The sequence below is a fragment of the Homo sapiens genome, chromosome 10 (assembly GCF_000001405.40).
Source record: "Homo sapiens chromosome 10, GRCh38.p14 Primary Assembly".
Lineage (NCBI taxonomy): Eukaryota > Metazoa > Chordata > Mammalia > Primates > Hominidae > Homo > Homo sapiens.
In genome coordinates this window covers 124,214,517-124,230,416 of record NC_000010.11, presented here as the reverse complement: position 1 = coordinate 124,230,416, position 15,900 = coordinate 124,214,517, and the positions used below count along the sequence as shown (strand labels likewise).

Genomic DNA, 15,900 nt, shown 5'->3' with positions numbered 1-15,900 from the left:
ATTTCCCTCTGGAATTCCATGTGGAATATCATGTGGAATACCGTGTGGAATGTTGTGTGGAATACCACTTAGAATATTGTGTGAAATAACTTGTGGAATACCATGTGGAATACCGTTTGGAATATTGTGTGGAATATTGTTTTGAATACCATGTGGAATACCATGTGGAATGTTGTGTGAAATACCGTGTGGAATACCATGTGGAATATTGCGTGGAATACTGTGTGGAATATTGTGTGCAATACTGTGTGAAATACCATGCGCAATACCGTGTGGAATACCGTGTGGAATACCATGTGGAATATTTTGTGGAATACCATGTGGAATGTTCTGTGAAATACCATGTGGAATACCGTGTGAAATATTGTGTGGAATACCATATGGAATATTCTGTGGAATACCGTGTGGAATGTTCTGTGAAATACCATGTGGAATACCATGTGAAATATTGTGTGGAATACCATGTGGAATATTCTGTGGAATACCGTGTGGAACACCATGTGGAATATCGTGTGGAATACTGTGTGGAATTCCGTGTGGAATACAGCGTAGAATACTGTGTGGGAAACTGTGTGAAATACTGTGTGGAATAACGTGTGGAATATTGTGTGGAATACCATGTGGAATGCCAAGTGGAATATTGTGTGGAATACCATGAGGAATACCACGTGGAATTCTGTGTGGAATACACTGTGGAATACTGTGTGGAATATTGTGTGGAATACCATGTGGAATATTGTGTGAAATACCATGTGGAATATTATGTGGAGTATTGTGTTCAATTCCATGTGAAATACTGTGTGGAATACCACATGGAATACTGTGTGGAATACCATGTGAAATATTGTGTGAAATAACATGTGGAATACCATGTTGAAAATCGTGTGGAATACCGTGTAGAATATTGTATGCAATATCGTGTGGAATATTGTGTGGAATACCGCGTGGAACACCGTGTGGAATATCGTGTGGAATACCGTGTGGAATACTGTGTGGAATTCCATGTGGAATACAGCATAGAATACCATGTGGGAAACCATGTGAAATACTGTGTGGAATACCGTGTGGAATATTGTGTGGAATAACGTGTGGGATACCATGTGAAATACCTTGTGGAATATCGTGTGGAATATTGTGTGGAATACCATGTGGAATTCCGTGTGCAATACCATGAGGAATACTGTGTGGAATTTTGTGTGGAATACCGTGTGGAATATTGTGTGAAATACCTTGTGGAATACCGTGTGGAATACCATGTGGAATATTTTGTAGAATACTGTTTGGAATATTGTGGTGAATACCGTGTGGAATACTGTGTGGAATATTATGGGGGATATTGTGAAATACCATGTGGAATATTGTTTGGAATACCATGTGGAATACCGTGTGGATTATTCCACATAATATTACCACATTCCAGATAATAATACCACACGGTATTCCCCATGGTATTCCACACAGTACTCCACACAATATTCCACACAGTATTCCACACAATATTCCACACAACATTTTACATGGTATTTCACACGGTATTCCACACAATATTCCAAGCTGTATGCCACACAATATTCCACACAATATTTCCTATGGTATTCCATATGGTATTCCACACAATATTTCATGCTGTATGCCACACAATATTCCACACAATATTTCACATGGTATTCCACATGGAATTTCACACTATATCCCACATGGTATTCCACACAATATTCCATGCTGTATGCCACACAATATTTCATATGGTATTGCATATGGTATTCCACACAATATTCCACACTGTGTGCCACACAATATTCCACACAATATTTCACATGGTATTCCACACGGAATTTCACACTATATCCCACACGGTATTCCACAGAATATTCCACACAGTATTCTACATGGTATTCCACACAATACTTTACACAGTATTCCACATGGTATTCCTCATGGTATTCCACACAATATTCCAAATGGTATTCTACACAATATTCCACACAATATTTCACATGGTATTCCACATAATATTCCACACAGTATTCCAGCTGGTATTCCACACAGTATTCCATATAGTATTCCACACAATGTTCCACATGGTATTCCACACAATATTCCATACAATATTCCATATGGTATTTCACACAGTATCCCACACAATATTCCACACGGTATTCCACACAATATTCTACACTGTATTCTGACAGAATTCCACATGGTATTCCATCCAGTATTCCACATAATATTCCATACAATATTCCACATGGTATTCCACATAATATTCCACACAGTATTCCAGCTGGTATTCCACAGAATATTCCACACAATATTCCATACAATATTCCTCATGGTATTTCACACAGTATCCCACACAGTATTCCACACAATATTTTACACGTTATTCCACATGTTATCTTACACAATATTTCACTAGGTTTCCACATGGTATTCCACACAATATTCCACATGGTGTTCCACATGGTATTACACAAAATATTCCACAAAATATTCCACATGGTATTCCACAGAATATTCCACATGGCATTCCACGTGGTATTCCACAGAATATTCCACGCAGTATTCCACACGGTATTCCACACAATATTCCACACAGTACTCCATGGTATTCCAAATGGTATTTTACACAATATTCCACACAGTATTCCACACAATATTCCACACAGTTTTCCAGGCGGTATTCCACACAATATTGTACAATGTATCCCACACAATATTCCATACGATATTCCTCACAGTATTTCACACAGTATCCCACATGGTATTCCACACAATATTTTACACGTTATTCCACACGTTATCTTACACAATATTTCACTAGGTTGCCACATGGTATTCCACAAAATATTCCACACAGTATTCCACATGGTATTCCACCCAATATTCCACACAGTATTCCACACAGTATCCCATATGGTATTCCACATGGTATTCCACAAGGTATTCCACACAATATTTCACACCGTATTCCAAATGGTATTCCACACAATATTCCACACGATATTCCACATGGTGTTCCACACAATATTCCACACGTTATTCCACACAGTATCCCACACAATATTCCACACGGTATTCCACACAATATTCCATGCAGAATTCCACACAATATTGCACACAGTATTCCACACTGTATTCCACACAATATTCCATACAATATTCAATAATATATTATTCACAGTATTCCACATGGTATTCCACTCACTATTCCACAAGGTATTCCACACAATATTCCACATGATATTCCACACGATATTCCACATGGTATTCCACATAGTATTCCACACGGTATTCCACACAATATTCCACATGGTATTCCACCCAATATTCCACATGGTATTCCACACAGTATCCCATATGGTATTCCACATGGTATTCCCCCCGGTATTCCATTCAATATTCCACATGATATTCCACACAATATTCCACACGGTATTTGACATGGTATTCCAGATGGTATTCCACACAATATTCCATAATGTATTCCACACAATATTCCATGTGGTATTCCACACAATATTCCACAGGGTATTCCATACGATATTTCATATGGTATCCCACATGGTATTCCACACGGCATTCCACCTGGTATTCCACACGGTATTCCACCCAATATTCCACATGGTATTCCACACGGTATTCCATACAGTATTCCACATGTTATTCCACACAGTATTCCACACGATATTTCACATGGTATTCCACACAGTATTCCACACGGTACTGCACATGGTATTCCATACGGTATTCCACATGGTATTCCACTCAGTATTCCACACGGTATTCCACACGATATTCTGCACAGTATTTCACACAATATTCCACTGGGTATTCCACATGGTATTCCAGACAGTGTTCCAAAGAATATTCCACATGGTATTTCACACAATATTCCACACGGTATTCCACAAAGTATTCCACACTGTATTCCACACAGTATTCCACACAATGTTCCACGTGGTATTCCACACTGTGTTCCACGCCATATTCTACACGTTATTCCACATGGTATCCCACACAATATTCCCCACGTTATTCCACACAGTGTTCCGCATGGTATTCCACACAATATTCCACATAGTATTCCACACTATATTCCTCACAGTATTCCACACAATGTTCCACACTGTATTCCACACGGTATTCCACGCAATATCCCACATGGTATTCCACACTGTGTTGCACACCGTATTCCACACGTTATTCCACATGGTATCCACACAGTATTCCACACATTATTCCACACATTATTCCACATGTTATTCCGTACAATATTCCACACGGTATCCCACAAAATATTCCACATGGTATTTCACACGGTATTCCACACAATATTCCACATGGCATTCCACACGGTATTGTACACAATATTCCACACGGTATTCCGAGGCAGAGCAAGGACTGCAAAGCAGTCCACCGCGTGCCCTGAGCTCTGTGTGCTCTGCCTTGCACCCATCTTGAAGGCCTGTGATCCTAGCTGCAGGAGACCCTTGGCCCCAGCTACCAACAGGCAGCAAAGAGACATTTGGGGTCAGACAGAGCTCCTTGTGTTCTTCCAAATATAAAATACAGTCCTGCACCTACTTGGCTGCCTTGAGGGACTGGCCAGCAGTGGCAATCACTGTTCACAAAACTGGATGAAAATCATGGTTAGTCTGCTAAAACGGCTGGCTCCGGGGTCACATGGGAATTTGGGGTTCTTCACAGTGAAATGTATCATTCTGAGGACATCACACTGGCCCACTGAGAGGCAGGAGGTGATGAAGCCATCACTGTTTGTCTGGGCTTCTTTCTGCCATGAACACAGCTCTGTTGCTGGCAGCCTTGGCCCTGGAAATATTCTTAATTCCACAGCTTACTACCATGAACACTGCCAGGATCCTGAAATAATATGGACCTCACCGCCACCTCTGCTGGGACCACTTGCCATTCGCAGCTGTTGATCTTGCTGGGATCGGTGGCCCCAGGCACAGTGCTTCTGCATGCACGTCCCATAGACTCCCAAATCTGAGCTTTGGGTGGTCTACCATGCCAGCCATCCCTTGAAATGACCTTGGAGAATGCTGTCTCAGGGCCTCTGAGCAGGACATTTGTATGCCTGAGGAAACTGATGATCTCATTCCTTTGGGGCTATAAAAAGGCCTTCGTGCAAGGCCAGTAAAACTCAGGAATCAATATTCTATGAGGGCCTGAGTGTTAGAAAGTGAGGCGCTGTTTGTTTCAGGTTTGCCTCCAAAATTAGATAAATTAACGTAATGAATTCTCTCAACTCATTTACATACACTGCTGATTTGATTTTAGGGAGAAACGCTGGAAAAGGCAGCCCTGTGAATGTACAAAACAGGATTTGACCTATTTTTCAAGTTGTTTGTGTCTGCAAAGTTTGCGATCTCTTTAACTGAAGCTGCTGGTGCCACGCTTTTTAGAACAAACCAAATAGCTTCAGCCTGCACATAAATGAGCCGGTGCCCTGAGAAAGGATATGGGTGTCTTGTGAATTTTGGGGACATTCTGTGGTTCTGGCAGCATCTGACTCAGCAAGTGATCCCAGGAAGGTGGCTCAACCCTTAGAAATTCTATCCTGGTTCACTTCCAAATAGGCATCGTACGTGGGAGGCTGGAGCCCAGGGGCTGGCCCGTAGCCCGCAGGGCGCAGAGGAGGCTGGTGCCCAGACTGGGAATGGCACTGGAGATATGCTTCCCGGGCCTCCCAGCTCACTCACTCAGCTTCTGCCTTCTGTGGAGCAGACTCCAGGGTCTGGGGGATGCAGGCAGAGAGAGGTGATCCCATTCCCCACCCATCTTCATGCTGCGTTAAACCCATAGCCTGATCACGGCCACCTGATGCTGGTGCATGAAGCACTTCGCTACTTCGACAGCATCCCAGACACAGGCTGGGGCTGAGGTGGCCACCGCAGCGTGGAAAGAGCCAGGGCTGTGGCGTGGGCCCTGGACCCACTCCACCCCAGCCCTGTTGGTATTCAGCTCCACTCACTTTCACTGACCAGCCCTGGGGGTCCCGGCTCCATGCTGAACTCGAAGCCAAATCTCAGTCTTGGAGGAGCTGGTTAAGTTCCCCTCACATTGACCAAGGGCCAGGCTGCATCCTTGGGAAACAAGGTTTACCCATGAAAATCACTCTTTTCACTTGATATATGGAGATGGGGCTCTAGAAGCTGTGTGTTTGTGTGTGCATGTGTATGTTGGTGGGGAATTTAAAGTAAGGGTTGGAAAACAGCAGCAAATGAGGAGGTGGAAGAGATGGGAAACACTCAGAATTCCTCTACTGCCAGAAAGGAGGGGGTGAGACTGAAAACCTCCAGCGTCAGGGCCTTTGACCGCAGCCCCTTCCATCTCCTGGTGGGTCCTTGAGCATCCCTGCCCACTTTAGTTAAACAGACTTCTCAGTGCTTCATGGCCTGGCTTACATGTTCCCATCTCCAGGCCCTGGCTCTCGGAAGTGCACAGGAAGGCCTGGGCATGCCCTTGTCATCACCAGTGTTTGGGTTCCTCCCGCTGACCCAGGAGCCTACCTCTGCACAACCTGCTGGGAATGCGTATGACCCTGCCTGCCGATGCTTCTGTGTACAGGGGGGCTGCCTCTTACCTGCTCTTGTCCCATTCCAGGCAGGAGATTTAGCCAAACCCCTTGTACTTCTCAAGAGTGTTCTCGGCTGGCATTGAACAGTGGGAATGTGCAGAAATGTGTCATCAGTTTTCCTCACTTCAAAACCTCCCAGGTCAGGTGTCAAATGTCACTGATGCAGGAAAGTCAGCCAGGCAGTTCTGCCCCAAATCTGGGCATCTATAAAGAGGCCTGGGTAAGGGGGTGCAGGGTTATGCTGTGCCCTGTCATCACTGCCCTTGCGTGGTACCTCCCCTTACTGTCCAGGCTCTTCAGCTGTGCAAGGATGCCCAAGTGGCCGGGAGAGTGTCCGGACTGCCTGTCACACCACCTGGGTTGGACTCCTGGCCCAGCCTTGACTGCTTTGTGACTCCAGGCAGGAAACCTAATTGCTTTTGGCTTCCGTTCCCTCCACTGTAAAATGGGGATAAAGTGGTTCTCACCTCATAGGATTGAGGGATAAATGTGCTAATGCAGTTACAAGGTTTCGCACGAAACCTGGCACATAATGAGCTTTAATGCATGTTAGGTGCCAGGGATGTTGCTGGCAGCCAGCTGCATCGTCGTCAATCTCCCCCAATCCTCTCTTGCCTCAGGGTTTGCTCTTCATCCGAGGCTGGGATGGGATGGACTAGCTCTGGCCAGGACAGCGAGCTGCCTGAAAGTCACTCTCAGGAGCTCCCTGAACCCCCTGCAAGGCCTGCCTGGGTTATTGATACAGGCTCAGGTAATGGGCTCCCTGGGCTTGAATCCCAGCTCTGTGACTTATGAGCTTGGAACAGTGCTTTGCATAAATTAAGCACTCAGTATGTTTAGGAGTTGCTATGATGAAGCTCTGAAAATGGGCAAATCCTGGCTGCCTGGGGCTTGGGGGGCGGCGCCCTGAACACACTCCCTGTTACAGCTCATGCCTCACAAGATGCTGAGGTCTCCTGACTACGGAGCTCAAGGTGGAAGCCTCCAAGCGCCTCCAGCAGTGGGAGGGAGGGCAATACTTACCCTTTTCAAATGGCGTCCTCGGTAATTCCCACCAACACGCCTTGGGCCCACTGCCCCCACTCCCAGACAAGCTAAACTGCCCAGAGCTCTTGATGTTTTCTGTCCTGCTGTTTCCTTGCCTGGACGCCTGGTGAACTCAGCTGCGTCCATTCATGCAAATACCCTGACCCCATGAGGCTTCCCTTTGGGCCCTACACAGGGTGAATCTGTGAATCCCCCCCTTCCCTGGGCCACCTGGCCCTACGCTCAGGCCTCCCCACTGGACTGTGAGCAGCCTGAGGGCTGCTGGAACTGGGCCAACTCCTCCTCAAGGCTTGGTTGTGGTGCCCAGTGTGCAGGGACCCCGACAGACAAGGCGTGAGAGGCTGCATGAAATATACAAGAGACCGCGGTGCATCGCAGATGCTGATCTGTGTGTCTGTCCTGGGCTGTGAGCCCCTGAGGGGCAGAGACCCACTTCTCTGTATCTTGGAGTCCCTGCATCTTCTGACAGAAAGCAGGGGCTAAGAGATGCTGGTGAAAATGGACTTGAGTGGATGACTGGGGCTGTGAGGGTTGCTGGACACCGGGCATGCCTCGGCGGAGAGGTGGAGGGGACAGCGAGCGGCAGTCCCCCTGCCTGCGCGGTCGGATGTATGTTCACTCCTACAGAAACCACATCACCAAGGGGGCTCTGGGGTTGAAATTCCTGAAGGAAACCAGAGATTGTTTTACAAAAATACCCTTTCAAAAATAGCAGCTGTTTTTACTTTGCTTCTGAAAGGCGGCGGAGGGCAGCTTCCTGATTTGGAAAGACAAATGTTTGTGCAGCCTGGGGAGTGAGGGGCTGGGCGACGGGGGGCTCTGGCCAGGGGCCCAGGGGCCCCTTGTGTTTTGGGAGGAGTCCTAGGGGACCATGTAGGTGTGGACATCCGACTCAACGTGCAGCCCTGGCAGTGTGCGGTAACCAGTGACACGTAGAATACTTTTTAAAAAAGTCCTTTCTGACCACATCCTCTGACCCTCGCACCTGGAAACTGGAAGAGAAACAGGCCCCTTTTTAACTGTTAGGTTTCCCTGGTCAGAAATGACTCATCTCGTTCTTTCTGGAGACTTGGAAGTTAGAATGTATGGAAGGATGAATGAAGCGCTGCTGACTTTGGGGGCTCCTCGAGAGGGAATGCCATGGTCCCCAGAGAGTGACTTGGTTGGTGATAGGGCCATGTGGTTCCTCTCTCCTCAGTGAGGGAAGCCTCCTCCTCTCCCTCCCACTGGGTAGCCACATGGTTAAGAGAGCTCCAGGCTCTCACAAGCTGAGGTGTGAGTCCCAGTCCTATTACTTCCTAGCCGTGAGGTCTTGGTCAGGGATAACTTATGCCCCCGGCCTCATTTCCTTTATCTGTAAAGTGGAAATGACAAGCATCCTGGCCTGATAGGGTGCTTGCCAGGAGGACACAAACACAGGCCTGGAAATCGCTCATTTCACCTCCCAGCAGCCCTGTGGGATGGTTACTCTGATTTTCCCCATGGGGAGAATGAAGCTCAGAAGGTTATGCTGGAGAACCACTGTGGGGGGCTCCATTCGTCTCCGCAGCCCCAGGTCTTCACCGCCCTCCTGAAGCCAGCATGTGGCCCCTACGTCACAGGTGGGAATGGCAGCTCTGAGCAGCCCAGGACACACTTAGGGCTGTGTGTCCTGGCAAGGAGCTGGAAGGGAGCCCTCTCCTTGGCTGGGCTCTCCCACAGGCACGATTATGACCGCAGGTTCCGGGGCCTGCCCTTCCTTCCAGATGCGCAGGTGCCAGGCTCCACGTGGTCAGCGGCGCTCCTCCATGAGCAGGGGGCTGGAGTGGATACTTTTCCTTCTCTTTTCTGCCTCTTCCAAAGCTTCTGCCTCAGACTACACTATATTGTGGTTAGAAAAACAAAAACAATAAATGTCATTTAGAAAAAATAGCACTTGCTAAGCACTTTTGCTTTCTGTTTGTGTTTGGGACTCACAGAAGTCAGTTTGGCATGAGGCTGCTGGGACTTTGGTGGGGGCTTCAGGCCACCACGTGGTAGGTGGGAGCCCCTGGGCTGCAGAAGCTGGGTGCAGGGCTGGCAGAGGGCGGAAGGGGGCCTTCCCCATCATGGATACGATCTGCAGAGATCTGCAGGGATCGAGCCTGCAGGGACCGAGAGGCACCCATGCCTCAGCAGGGAGTCAGGCGGGAAGCTCAGCATTTGTGTCTGTAATCCAGCTCCTTCTCTCCACTGTTTTTCTGGAATTATTCCCACCTCCTCCACTTTGTCTTTAGGGACACTGCTTCATCTCATCCCCTACTTCTGTTGGGGCTACTAAGTATAAAACCTTAACTCCTTGGTCAGAGATTGGGACATTTGACCTAACTCTTTTGCTTCTGTGGATATTTTGACCCCAAAGTCATTTTGAATGTCAGCATTTTAACCAGAATTACCCAACAGTGATGAGTTTTCATCTAGAAAGTATCAGAATTCCAGCGGGGACCCCATTAAGCTGATGTAATCCCTCTATCAATTTTCTATACAGCGCAGTTAAGCCATTCCTGATGTTTCCATTTCCATTTTGCTGAAATTATTTTCATAGGGATCAATTTTTTTTTTTTTTGCATTTAGAATCTTACAGCAGAGATTTGCTTCTTAAATCACTTTTCGTCCATATCAAACTACTAATCGCAGCTTCTACCATCACGAGCGGCCACGGGTTCCATCCAGTACTGTTTTCCTGGGTGAAGTCATAATTGGTGTTGTTTGAGTTGATGCATAAGGAAATAGCAATTTCTGTAAGGCAGGGAGATGGCGGGGGAGAAAGAGTGGAGGAGGGGCAGAGAGAAGGAGCAGGCGTCCCAGAGGGGGACAGGGAGGAGGACAGAAGGGTCCCTGGGCAGAAATTGGGTGGCCACTGACTGGAAGGATGCAGGAGGAGGGAGCAAAGGTCAAAGTGCCCACTTGGCCACAGGATCATCGCATGGCACCATCCTGGTCAAAGACTGCCCTCCTCCCCCTGTTCTGGTTCAGGGCATACTAGCCGGCACCAATGGGGCGGTGTGTTGTGACTAGGTACGTGGGATGGAAGATGAGACTAAGGGCCCACAGGCCAGCAAGTTCCTGGTACAGGAACAGAGCCTGTCCCCGTAGGAGGGTCAAGGAGCAGAGAATGAGGCATCAACAGACAGAAGGGTGGCTCCGGGCATCAGTCACTTCAGACCCTGGATCCAGCAGTGCCTGGGATGCACTCCCTAGGCCGCCCTTTATAGTAGCTTATGAAGGGCCCCCCTTTTTGGCCGAGGTAACTGATTTGGGTTTTTTTCATTTGCAACCAAACACCTCCTCCTGAATATCCCCCAGCTCTATGCTCTCAGGGCTGTGGCACCTGCCTGGCTCACATGTTGTTCTGATGTCCCTGCATGTCTGGGAAGACCCCCTTCTCCTCTTCTTGCAGCTGCTTCTGCTCGGGGTAGACACACCAGGGGTCCACTTGACATTCCTTCCTCAGATGTCTATTGCATGCTCCCCATGTTCAAGACGGCGTGCTGGGGCTGGTGCGGGGGGCATTCGGGACAGACTTCTGAAATCTCACTAAGCTTCAGTTGGCATTTCTGAAAACAGGTGCAATCACAACTGGTGATTGTGACTGTTGTGAGGACAGCAGAGCTCACGCTGGCATAGCGCATTGCCCCCGATCGCAGTGGACACTGCTAGCTCCTTACCGTTCGATTCTGAACGTTGGTCCTGGGAAAGGAGGCTCAACGTGGCTTGGATGGTCTCATTGCTCTCAGAGGTCAGTCAAGGAGGTAGAGATGTGAGATTGGCCCCCAGAGGAAGAATCCTTGAGTCAAGGAAGCTGAGAGGGGTCAGAATGCGGGGAGAAGCAGGCTGACCATGCAGTCTGCAAGCCCGCTGCAGTGGTGGGTGGCAGGTAGGCAGCCCTGTGGGGTGGGCGCTTCCTGGCTCCCTGTGGGCCTGGCGTGGTGCTCAGACACCACTCCACATGCTGTGTCTGTGTCTCGGATGCATATTGGAAGCCAAATCCTCGGAAATGGGCTGGCACCCATTTCTTTTGGCGCCTTCAGCCAGCGCATGTCAGACTGTTTTTTACGAGTTCAGAAAGGCGCCTTCTGTGGCATGCTGGGCGCTGGTTCTGGCTGAGACATGTATTAGAAACAGTGTGGGCTCCTCAGCAAGGCTGAGCCTGCCCCTGGCCCTCCGGCATTCCATGCAGCATTGCACAGGTCTGTGGGGGCCGCATCACATTCTGGGCCACCTGCTCATGGCAGCGAGTTAGCCTCTGGGTGGCGATGTGCAGCTCAAATGTGTGTTGGGACCTGGGAGTCAGGGAGCTGGGACAGGTGTTCCATGAACCAGTCAGTTAACACTGAAACATGATCTTATATTTGGAAATCCAAGAAAATTCTATTGTAATAAAACAAAAAGAGTAAAGCTTGAAAAATTGCCCTGGCTGCAGACAGGCATAAATGATGGTGCTTTCTCATGGATAGAGGAGGGTGGCAGAAACACAGCTGGGGTAGGACATGCCACTGTTGAAGGCTGTCACTCCTCACGGCTCCAGTCTGCTTCCCCTGGATCAGCCCTGACCTGATGCAGGTCAGCTGTCTCATTCCATATCCTCAGGCAGCAGAGTTGGAACCTTGTGTCAGAAGTGTTCCTCTACCACAAAGGGCACCTGTTATGTTATAGAGAACAGGCTGTGGGGATGGCAGAGGTTGCATAACCCACATCTGTTTCCCAAGTTGCCAAAACATACCAGGGAGGGGAGGAGGCTAGGGCTTCTAGAGTAGGAACTCAGAGCTTTCCCCTCTCAGGGGCCAATCTCACATCATTACCTCCTTGACTGTCCTCTGAGAGTGATGAGACCATTGAAGCCACCTTGAGCCACCTTCACTAAGACCAACCTAGGAGCTCTAGAAGGGACCAGTGTGGGGCAGAGAACTCCACTGTGAGGTTCCTGGAAAACCTGTCATCTTTCCTTGAGCTTTGGGCTGAGTCCTTAGGACCTGGGTGGTTCTCTCAGAGGCAGCCAGAAGCCCTGGGCCCTGGTGCTCAGCTCTGTCCAAGTGAGTGTGAACAGGGTACCCAAGTCAGAAGACGTGGTCTGAGTCGCAGTTGTGTTGTTAGCTGTGTGACCTTGGGCAACTCAACCTCTCTGAGTCCCAGCTTCCATCTTTACAAAGTGGGCATGGCGATTTCTCCCTTCTTCCTCTTGTTAGCATTGAGAGTGTTCCTGTTTCCTTCCCCTGATAAGATTGTAAGCAGTGCCTATATCTCAAAGATCCTCCACTAAAACCAACACAAATACTAACCATCTGTTGGGAACGTTTGTGTGCATATCAGCGTTCAAATGCATTTACATGTGTCCTCTCCATGGGTCCTCCCAACCTGCAGGGACAGGTACTGTTTGGATTCTCATTTCACAGAAGGGGCAACTGAGGCAGAGAGGCAGCACCATGGGCCGAGGCATCTCAGCTACGAGAGGAAGTGCTAAGTGTCTGAACGTGGGCAGCATGGCTGCGAGTCTGTGCTGATGAGCGCGGCACCACTTGCTCCCCAATGAGAGGTCCACAGTCAGTGGTGACAGAGGGCAGTGCCTGACTGGTTCCTGGACTGCTCGCTCTTCAACTGTGAGATTGGAAAGGGACCCTGGCTGACACTCTGAATCCAGCAACTTGCTGCGGGTGGGGAGTTGGCTGTGTTTTCCTGGCTGCACTTCCCCTTTGGCTTCCCTCGGACCCTTCCCTGCTGGCTTTTCGATCTATTTGTTTTCTGTTTCATGGAAAGAAGTTTCTTGTTGAGGAAAGTGAGGCAGGAGGCGACTCGTCTGAGGTCACGTGGCTCATGGCCGCCAAGAGGAACTTGGATCAGATGGTGGCCAGTGCCCTCCCAGCTCCAGGTCGCATAAATGGGTGGCCCTGCAGAAGTAGCTTTTTAAAGATGCAATGGGATAGCATATTAAAGATGCAATGGAAGGGGGAGGGAAGAGGAGAGAAAGAACAAGAGAGAGGGAAGGGGACTCTGGTTTTTCTGTTTTGGAGTGAAATAAAACCTCTGTAGACTTTGCATCAATGTGTTGTCTGTTCTTGTTGTGGTCCCAACTTTGGAGAAGTCAGTCTGGCAAACAGGCTTGCTCAGGATGAATAAGGGAAGGGCAAACAAAATGAGAAGGCCGCCTGTCAGCCTCAGGAAAAGAGCCCAGCAAGGGACCAAAGATGGTCCAGCAGCCTCTGCACCCTTCCTGCCTCTGTGCCTCGCTGGCAGGAGTGTAGGGGGACAGATAGAACCCTGGGCATCCTGGGGAGGGGTGGCGGGGCAGGTGGTTTCATCTGGGACATTCAAAGGGAGCCGTGCACCATAAGCTATTGAGATCTGCTCCTGCCCACACTGGCAGTGGTTAGCATGGGGGCCTCGGGGCCAGGCAGCCTGGGTTTGAAACTCGGCTTATTCACTGGCTGTGAGATCTTGGGAAAGTTACTTACCCACTCTGTGCCTCAGTTTCCCCTGGTGAGAAGCAATGACCTCATAGGGTTGTTGTCAGGTTAAATGAGATAGGTTAGCTATTATTAAGATTAATATTATCAATAGCTTTAATTATAGCTGTCAGTTATATACATGGATTGTTCGAGCCTTGTTTCTGAGTTAATGCATTCGAGATATGTGACAATCAAAAACACTTGCAAATTGTATGCATGTGATTCCTTGCTGGGGCACTGGATGATGGCAGGGAGGACCGAGTGACAAGAAGTGCACAGTCACAGTGAATCCTAGTCCTACCGCTCGCTCCCAGGTGGCCTTCAGCAGTCACCCCACCGATTTGACTTGCCGCATCTAGAGAGTGGGAATGTATTGGTTAGAAATGCTTTTCACATGGGCTTGGTGGCTCACGCCTGTAATCCCAGCACTTTGGGAGGCCGAGGCAAGTGGATCACTTGAGGCCGGGAGTTTGAGATCAGCTTGGCCAACATGGCGAAACCCCATCTCTACTAAAAATACAAAAATTAGCCGAGTGTGGTGGCGTGTGCCTCAGTCCCGGCTGCTTGGGAGGCTGAGGTCGAAGAATCACTTGAGCGCGGAAGGTGGAGATTGCCGTAAGCTGGGATCATGTCACTGCACTCCACTGGGTGACAGAGAGAGACTCCATCTCAAAAAAAAAAAAAGAAAAAAAACCCAAAAAAACAAAAACAAAAACTGCTTTTCACTAGGGGTAACAGAACACTCAGCTGGCATAGGTGTGAAGTTTATTTTAAAACATTCACCTAGCGAGAAATCCAGAGCAGCAGGTCTGGGGTTCTTGCAATGGCCCATCAGGTCTTCCCCACAGGGCTCAGACTCCTTCTGTCTTTTCCCCGTCCACCATTTTTAGCATGTTGGGTCTGTCCTCATGCTGCCTCATGGCCTCAAAATGACTGCTCTACTTCCAGCATCTCATCTATGTTCCAGTTAGAAAGAAGAATAAGCAACTCTGCTCAGGAAGGAGGGGGGACTTCCCTAGGGCCTTTGGCTTACATCTTCTTGGCCAGAATCATGATGGATGATCACCCCAATTTCAACAACATCTGGACAATGGACCCCTTAGAGTCTTTAGCAGAGGAAGGCCAGGGAAGGCGGTTGTGGATGCCTTCCAGGCAGCAAATCCACAGGGCTCGCCATGAGGCTTTGGGGAAGAAATATGTAAAATGCTTACCCTAGGGTCTGACATAGATTAAGTACCCAAGGAAGTGAACACTTTATCTTTATTAGGGAAGTCAGGTAAGGAATGAATTTAAAAAGGGAAGGATTAATGTCTTACAGTGCGAACTGGTCCTTAATAAATGAATTTCCTTCTTGTTCTTCTCTTGGCCTCCATTAGCCCGGTTGGGTTGGCCTCATGTCCCCCCATCTCAGACAAAGCTCCCACTGAAGTCACCAGCGCGGGGGCCACTCTGAGAACCCCTACGCCACCCATGGTCTCTCTCTGCAGACTGGGGGCTTTGTGCTGTCTGGGGAAACTTGGCTATGCCCACCAGTTACAAAACAACTGGAGAGTGTGTTCAGCCAGTGCAGTGCTGTAGCACCCTCAATCTCAGCAGTCCTGGTTAACCCTCCTCTTCCTGCTCTGCCTGGACTCAATTGAGGATTTCGCTGCTGAGGCCCTGAGATGTACAGCTTAGCCTCCGGACTTCTCCAGAAAGATACAGTTCTGTTCTGTGTCGCTTTATTGTTCAGTGTATTTTTAAAAATGTGTTCCTCTGAATAAAATGCAGAATTCATGATACTTTATT

General features: G+C 48.5%; 2 annotated features.

Annotated features, from left to right (window-relative positions):
- Positions 8,645–8,824: an enhancer, noted in NCBI's record as "active region_4165". NCBI's record gives its function as "activates an Ori minimal core promoter by ATAC-STARR-seq in GM12878 lymphoblastoid cells {active_cell/tissue: GM12878}" and the evidence as "EXISTENCE:reporter gene assay evidence [ECO:0000049][PMID:35858748]".
- Positions 8,835–8,934: an enhancer, noted in NCBI's record as "active region_4164". NCBI's record gives its function as "activates an Ori minimal core promoter by ATAC-STARR-seq in GM12878 lymphoblastoid cells {active_cell/tissue: GM12878}" and the evidence as "EXISTENCE:reporter gene assay evidence [ECO:0000049][PMID:35858748]".